This window comes from Homo sapiens, chromosome 12 (assembly GCF_000001405.40).
Source record: "Homo sapiens chromosome 12, GRCh38.p14 Primary Assembly".
Lineage (NCBI taxonomy): Eukaryota > Metazoa > Chordata > Mammalia > Primates > Hominidae > Homo > Homo sapiens.
In genome coordinates this window covers 43,154,861-43,163,861 of record NC_000012.12, presented here as the reverse complement: position 1 = coordinate 43,163,861, position 9,001 = coordinate 43,154,861, and the positions used below count along the sequence as shown (strand labels likewise).

The following is a 9,001-nucleotide window of genomic DNA, read 5'->3' as shown; positions in this document are numbered from 1 at the left end:
ATAATTTTGGTATTACATTATATAATCTATTTAAAATTTAACAATTTTTTTTCCGGAAAATGTCATTCAACACTATAGAAATATCAAATAAGCCTTTCTTTAAACAGAACATTAGCCTCATAGCATATTTTTAGCTATATTCTCCTTGATTTTCTTCTGAGTAGATTCACTCTTATCTGTGTTTGATGCACGCCAATAACATCTGGTTGGGTTGAAAATTGAAAATCACTTCCGTTTATAATATCTAAAATAATCAGTGAGGCTGATTTAATAACAAAGTGACTAATCATTTTGGCATTCATAGGAATAGCTATTTCTGCTGGATCAATACGTTGTATTAACTACCTTTGAGACTCAGTTCTCATTTTCTTAGTAATAATAGAGTTTAATAGAGTGAAATCTTTATATTTTATTTTTCACTGAAATTTCACAAATTATAGAAGCTGTTCTTTGCATAACAAATGGCATTGTAATGCTCCGATTATCTAAATGCAACCATCCTTGGGTATATGCAGGGAATTGATTCCAGGGCGCTGGCCTGAGTATACCAAAATACAAGCATACTCAAATCTTGCAGTCAGCCCCATGGAACCAAAGTATAAGAAAAGTCAGCCTTCCATATAGGTAAGTTCCATATCCCACAAATACTGCATTTTTGATCTGTGTTTGGCTGAAAAACATCGTGTATAGCTGGAACCGTGTAGTCCAAACCCATGTTGTTCAAGGGTCAGCTGTAGTATCATAGGTTTAGGGAATTAGATTTGTACATTCACCACAAGCCTGTGGCATCATTTAACATGTAAGTCTGCAATTATCCTCTGAATTTTGAATGTATAGATGTTTGTTGAGGCTTTCAAGTCTACGTTGACATCTCTTTGCTCCAGGTTGTGTGCACTGATCAAATAATTGAAAATATTTTTAAATATTCATAACATTTTACATTATAAAAACTCAACTTCAGAGTAACATGTATTATTTAAAAATAAGACACTAGTTAATACATCCACCATCTCACATATTTAAACTTTTTTATGATGGGTACATTTAAAATCTACTTTTTTAACAATTTTGAAATATACAATACATATTACTAACTATAATTCCCATGCTGTGCAATAGATTACTAAAATGTATTCCTCCTGTCAAACTGAAACTTTGTACCCTTTGATCAAAATCTCCCCTTTCCCCACCCCACCCACTCAGTCTCTGGTAACCTAACATTCTACTCCCTACTTCCACGGTTTGACTTTTTTAGATTTTACTTATAAATGAGATCAATGTTCCACGATGTATACATATATCAAAACATCATCCTGTACCCCATTATAGATATAATTACTTGTCAATTAAAAATTATATTAAAAATAACACACTAACTGTGACTTGCATAGTAATCATTAGCAATGGAGAATTTTACATTCAACTAATGAGAGATATATTTGCCTGTCAAAACTCTGTCTTTCTTAGCGTGTTGGCAGCTGGTGGTTTCTTGGTTATGATTGTGTTTTCCTGGTAACGTCAATTGGTTGTGCCACTGCAATTACATTTTCTTGCTTTATTTGTGACCAGTGGTGTGCATTTGTGAAGCACAGCTGGTGTTCTAGTTAGTGACCATAAAAGGGTGTTTTTTTTTTAAGAAGCTAACTAGCTCTTAAGGCAATTTTATTCTGTTGTAGGGACCTCATAAACACCACATTCACCAACTAAACCAACAAACGCATGAATAATCCCCATGCCCTGTTAATGATGGAAAATAGAGGTTAAAATTTCTGTTTTTACATTTCTGTTTGCCCTATGCAGGAGTGGAAATGTAAAGGAAGCAACATGGAAATTTATATTTTTTGGCTGTGTCACTGATGGTTACCTTCTTCAGTTTTATTTGAATTTGTGCTTGTATAAAATGGGGATCTCATTTAGAAGATGGAGTAATGTCATTTAAGTGTTAAGATTTTGACTGTTTTATCCATGTTTTTAGTTAGAACTTGTGTGTGGCAGATGTTTCTTTTGTTTTGTTTTTTGAGACAGAGTCTCGCCCTGTCACCCAGGCTGGAGTAAAATGGCCCGATCTCAGCTCACTGCAACCTCTGCCTTGCAGGTTCAAGTGATTCTCCTGCCTCCGCCTCCTGAGTAGCTGAGATTACAGGTGTGCACCACCACACTTGGCTAGTTTTTGTATTTTTAATAGAAATGGGGTTTCACCATGTTGGTCAGGCTGGTCTCGAACTCCTAACCTTGTATTCTGCCCACCTCGGCTTCCCAAAGTGCTGGGATTGCAGGCGTGAGCCACCACACCAGGCCACAGGTGTTTTATAGAGTGGTTTTCCCAATGCAAAAGCAGTCAGGTTCAAAAAAAAAAAAAAAAAACCAAGTTAAAGGACCAAGGAGTTCACCCCTGAAGCCAGATTTCTGTACCAGAAGGTAGCCCACAAGAAGCCATGTTCAAATGGGAAACAATGGGAGAAAATGCTTAAAGTTAGAAATGGACCAGGGGAAAATTAAGAATAACTCAAAAGCTAAAGTTTTAATTCAGAACCGATTGATTTTTGGGGAGGTGGTGGCTGGTGGTAGAGCGGTGGCATAATTTGAGCCAAAAGTATTAGTGGAAAACAATCATTTACTTCAAAATAGTAAGTATTCAATAAATAAAATGATATTAGACTTCAAAGTAAAAAGCTCAAGATATGACCTTCTGCTCTTCCCTTTTTAAAAATGGCACTAGACCATTTTCAAGAGCTGTTTGTACCTCAATGTCTTTAATTCTAAAAATCGTAATAATAAACTAACTGCCTTAATATTGTGAGAACAAGCTGGTGTATTAGTCTTTCTCACATTGTTATAAAAAAACTACCTGAGACTGGGTAATTTATGAAGAAAAGAGGTTTAATTGACTCACCGTTCTGCAAGCTTAACAGGAACCATGACTGGGAGGCCTCTGGAAACTTACAGTCATGGTGAAAGGCGAAGGAGAAGCAAGCACATCTTACTATGGCAGAGAAGGAGAAAGAGAGAGTGAAGGGGAAAGTGCCACACACTTTCAAACAACCAGATCTCATGAGAACTCACTCACTATCACAAGAACAGTGAGGGGGAAGTCCGCCTCCATGATTCAATCACCTTTCACCACGCCCTCCCCCAACACATGGGGATTACAATTCAAGGTGAGATTTGGGTGGGGACATACAGCCAAACCATATCAACTGGAAAATGTACTTATTCTGTAATGGTGCTCAGTAAATTATTGTCATATTTTGATTTCTCAAATTGATTGGGTATTTACATATAACAATAAATTTATTAAACCGATATATTAGTTTCATCAATTATTGAAGCAACATTTTCTTGTAACATAATGAGACTAGAATTTGACCCCAGTTATATTGATTCTTCCATCATTGTATTAGTTTTAGACAGTGATTCTTAACCTTGATGAACAGTAGAATTATTATATGAGCTTTTAAAAAATGTTCATGCCCAGCTTCTATTCCAGAACAATGAATTCAGGTTTGGGAATAAGACCCAGGCACCAGCATTTTAAAAATTCCTCCAGGTTTTCAATGTACAATAAGAGTTAACAATTACATTTAGGGAAACTAACCTGTAAACAAGTTGATAATATACTTGTGTTCGCTGGGCTAGTATACCATAGTTTTCTCATTAATGTCTTATTCTGAGAAACTGTCTATTGAAGGATGAGAATCAGGATAAGAAAGCTCCAATCCCTTGAAATGCACTTTGGGAAATGTTATGCAAATCTCATGTTGCCAAACCTCAAGAGGCATCCAAGATTGGCAAATTCTTCTGATATCAATTGAAACTGCATTATTTTCTCTTTCTTGGAAAAAGAGTTTGGAAAGTATCCATGTAGCATGTAGTCTACCACAAAACTCTAGCAATAATTCAGTCACTTTATTAAAAGAAAAATACTTCAGCTACACACATTTTTCTATAGACATGATATTTTTAGAATTTTCTTTTGGCAAATATAATATGGCATCAATGTACAACCACCTTCTACTTTCGTCCCATACAGAATTCAAATAGATCCATTTTCTCTTTATCTTTTAATGCAGGCAGTGTGGGATGAAGGACAAGACTGCCTATAAATTATGAGCATTGTGTGCATATGCCATTGCTTAAGTACCAGAAGACTTGTTCCAGGCCTGGAATACCAGCTGAGGCTAAACAACGGGCAAGGCACCAATAAATCCCTAGACAATTTGGAGCAATCCAACCTTTCTGCATAAATCACTGAGTGAAAGCTGTATGCAAGTCTTGATAAAACAAACAAAAAAACAAGCTGGAAAAATGACTGAGGTGGTCACCCAGGGTATATTGCAATTGTGTTTTGGGGTAAGAGATCAAGGTATGAAAAATGAGATTCTTTCTCCATAAATTTAATCCTCTAGGGCATTGTTACCTAATGTCTGGTCTATAGATGAGTGGTGGTCCATGAATCATTTGTTGCCAACCTGAGATAAATACAGAAATTAAAGGTAAACATTTAGAAACCATATAGCAACATGACATAGTAATTTTGTAACTGTTGAATCTAATAAAAAATTGGACTTGTATTTTTATGTCTTTTTTCATTTCATTTTTCTTGTAATTTCTTCTTATGTTTTGCAAAAAATCTCAGTCAATGACACATTAAAAATAAAAAATAGAATGGCTCCTTCACCACAGAGTTCTACTCTAGTTTACCTCAATAAGCAATTTTGTAAAAGCTAGTGCTTAAATCACAATGTTAAAGTGAAAAATAGAAAGATGGTGAAACGAAAGCTAGATAACAATTATGTAAATTACACTGCCTCGGTCCTTAGCAGGACACACACAGCCTTTCCGGTCCAGTCCCTCCTTACCTGTCTTCATATCTTCACCTTCTGCCCTTACTTCCAATACACATGAAATTCAAACCACAATCATCTACAAACAGATTTTAGTTGTTTATATACACTTTGTCTTCCTCAAAAAACATTTTAAATAACAACTTATACAGATATTCAAAGTTCACCAAATTTGAAGGAGAAATTTAAAAAATTCAAGTGACCGCAAAGTAAAAATATACCAATTTCTCAAAAAAGTTTATTTTACCTGACAGTTACACCAGAAAGAAATTTCTCCCCTAGAAACCTACAGAGAAAATATGATAGTATAATAGATGAACATTTTGTAATGTGACAAATATAGCAATTTGAATAAATGGCTACAAATCCTTTGACATTCCTGATACATAGATAGGGTTTATGAGATCTCTCCTTCAACTGGAACTGTTCCAACAAATAGAATATGGGGAAAGTAACACTCTACAACATTTGAGGCTACTTCAGGAAAGACTATGCAGCTTCCATCTGGTTCTCTTGGAACTCTTGTTGTTTAGGGTGTTTCCTCTAAGGGCACTTCCTCTTGGAATCCAGCCTCCATGCTGGGAGATGCCCAGACAACCTAGAAGATTTCTGTGTAGGTGCTCTGGTTGAACCCAGCCTTCAAATTATCTCAGCCTAGGTGCCACACATGTGAGTAAAGGAGCTTCCAGATGATTTCAGTCTCCAGGTATTTAAGCTACCTCTATCCATTTGAGTCACGCCCAGCTGCTCTAATCTTCCTAGGGGAGTACCCAGATACTATGAAGTTGAGATAAGCCCTCTCTACTCTTCTTTGTTCAAATTCCTAAGCCACATAATTCATAAGCATAATTCCTATGGTCTAGGTTTTTGTCCCCACCAAAAACTCATGTCAAATAGTAATCCCCAATGTCGAAGGTGGGGCCTGGTGGGAGGTAATTGAATCATGGAGGTGGTCTATGAATGGTTTAGCGCCATCCTCTTGCTGCTTTTCTCATGACAGTGAGTGAGTGGGATTGTGAGATCTGGTTATTGGAATGTATGTGCCGCCTCCCCGCTCTCTCTCTTGCTTCTGTTCCTGCCATGTGATATGCCTGTTGTTTTGCCTTCCGCCATGATTGGAAGCTCCCTGAAGCCTCCCCAGAAGCAGAAACCATCATGGTTCTGTACAGCCTGCAGAACTGTGAGCCAATTAAACCTCTTTCCTTTATAAACTACACAGTCTCAGGTATTTCTTTATAGCAATGTGAGAATGGACTAATCCAATTATAAAATGGTTGTTGTTTTATGCCTTTAAGTTTGGGATGAACTGTCTTGCAACAACAGATAAGCCAAATAGTGATGATATTTTCACAACATCCTTATACATAGAGATGGTGATCAATGTTTCTCCTTATTCAACCTCTCAGTAGGTGTTGCCCCAATATGAAACAAAGAACAATCAGAGTTGATGAAAGTTTCTTAATGGAGAGGTCCTATTTCTTGAAGAAAGGTTCCTTTTCACAACTCTATTCCTTTGTAAACACAATCCTTCTGCCTAGAATGCCCACAACCCTGCTCCACCTTCCCTCCATTTCCAGATATCTGAACTTTCAAGGTTCACTTTAGATGTTTCTTCTTCTATGTTGCCCCTTGACAATTCCACCCTACCCTGGGGATAATTAGGGACTCCCTCCTGTCTGCCCCAGAACACTCTGTATTGCAGTACTCATAATATTATAGAGTTTATACATCCGCCCTACTGCCTCCCCAACTAGGCTGAGGACTCCTTGAGGGTGATAATAGCCCTTTTCTTGTATGACTTGTTTTATCAGGATACGTGGTGTATAACTGGAACTCAAGAAATAACATGAACTGTGTTAGGTGGACATTCTGCCCTATGTTCTGATTCCTGGGTTATACACAAGCCAGCAGTGTCCTACACCACCTAACAAAGAATTAGAAACCTTGATAAAAAGACTGGTAAACACAGACTTACACCCACAGAACCTATTTAGTTAACAACCTTTTGCCATAAAGTCTCTTGAGAAGTTACCCTTTTCCAAACAACTTCTTCTAAAATACATATATATATATATATACACACACACACACACACACACAGATAGATAGATAGATAGATACTCTAAAACATATAAAGTAAATAAGCATGATATTTTGACACTGCAGCTTTTGGGAAAATATGCTATTTTTATTCTAACAGTTCTTAGTCATCAGTTCTTAATCATTGAATATCAGAACAAATTTGAACTGAGTGCCGTGTTTGGATAAACTGAAAGTATTTCATTTTGTCTAAGTATGACTAGAGAGAGGGATGATGAGGTAACATCTTTTGTAATTTTTCTGTCTCTGTGTACTAAATAAATTTTCACATCTTTCCAAGTGCTCTCATCTTCAGCTATTATTTTGACTGAAATTGTCTTCTCTGCTATAACTTTAAATGTTAAGTGTGCTGTAAGTGCAAGTTAACCATGATCCTCCAAATGGTTGAAAACATTCATAAACAAAATTGTTCAGAGAGCAAAATATACCTTACAAAGAACAACTGCCTTTAACACTCCCCCACCAACCAGCACTCACCATCACATAAACCTTCATGTTATTACATTTTATGAACAAACTCTATTTTATTTTCAATTTGATGTTCATTACTTATATAATGTCATGACAATTGAAAAATATTTCTATTGTTCAGTTAAAATATTTTCCTATCTATAAAAATGCTTTGGGTATGTTGGGTTGGGATAAAATGCTTCCTAAATTTTTAAATTCAAATTCATAAAAACGCTTTTTCACATAATGGCATTTTACTTTGTGGGAGGATTTTTAGGAACAAATTAAGATTACCAAGTGAAGAACAAGTCAATTATGAAAGTGTCACTGACAAACTCTGGAATTACTGATGTGCAGAGAAGGAAAGGGAGAAGCAGGCAGATGGACTCATTAGGAGGCTTCTTCCATTATCCGGAGGAGAGACAATGATGGTTTGGATGAAGGTGGTAGCAGTGGCAGTGGTGAGTAGTGGTCAGATTCTGGATACAGTTTGAATATAGCACCACCAAGTTTTGCTGTTGGGCTAGATATGGACACACACCAGTGTGTGAGAAAAATAGGAGTCAAAAATAACTTCAAATCCAGAGATATCTAAAGCTTACCTCATACCATATGAAAGGTAAATTTGAGTTAGAACTAGGATCACAGAGTTTTTTGACATCCATCCTGGAGTTCTATCCACTCTATTTTGCTGCTTCAAAGGAGATCATCTGACATTTGAAGTCTCAATAGCCACTTTGTGACAGGAGAGCTGGAAACTTTTTTAGTTACTGCAAAAAGAAGGTCTTTATTGGGATTTTTTATTTGGAGAACTTAAAATATCTATTCTGGAACATTGAGGACCTGCAGCTGCTTTGAGGATTTACTCTAAAGCATTCTAAATCTTTAACCGGTTATTACTGAGGTCAGAGGGAGAAAGAACATTATTTTGATGTCCTTGCAGATTTTCTGGTTGACTCAAAATAACTCCACATGGCATGATGGAAAGAACATTCAACTAGGAAGCAAACTGGCTTTTGGTTTTCGGTAATACCACCAATTGGATAAGTCATAAACTCTCTAAGATTCAAATTCCTCATCTCTAAAGTAAGGAGAGTGGATAAGTAGGATTTTTCAACCCTCAGTTGATATAAACCTTGTAGAACATTCCAAGCCATCCCTGACAGCTGCCTTCTTCAGTTTCTGGGCTTAAAGAAGTATCTCAGTCACCTTGTCTTCCTGGTAAACTCAAGGTTCTGAAGACATAAGAGGAAATTCCTGTTGTTCATAAAAAACAAAGAAACCTTTAAAATCAATGGTCCTCCAAGTTCTTCTGGCTCTCAAACTTCGATTTGATATTGCTAAATCACTGCTTTTATGTATTAAAACACTTTCTGAAGTAGAAGAGGTATGGATTATAATTTTTTTTAAACATTTTAGAATAGGAAAACTAGTATTTTTGAGCTTATGCTATGCATCAGGCAATAGAATAGATATGTTAATAATGTCATTATATCCTTACAATAAGTAGGTTTTATTGTCTCGTTTTTTACAGTATGGACATCAAGGCTTAAAGAGGTTAAGTCATTTGTCTAAGACCATACAATGGTGGGGCCGGAGTTCAAACA

The 9,001-nt window shown here is 36.3% G+C and overlaps 1 long non-coding RNA gene across 1 annotated transcript; it reads right to left on the bottom strand.

The window, feature by feature from the left end:
• Positions 1 to 751: 751 nt before the first annotated feature.
• On the bottom strand, positions 752 to 8,547 carry LINC02461 (long intergenic non-protein coding RNA 2461). The gene is made up of 4 exons (NR_146866.1): positions 7,997 to 8,547; positions 4,418 to 4,469; positions 2,894 to 2,983; positions 752 to 894 (listed from the first exon to the last, which is right to left on the bottom strand). It is a non-coding gene; the product is annotated as a long intergenic non-protein coding RNA 2461 (long non-coding RNA).
• Positions 8,548 to 9,001: the final 454 nt, after the last annotated feature.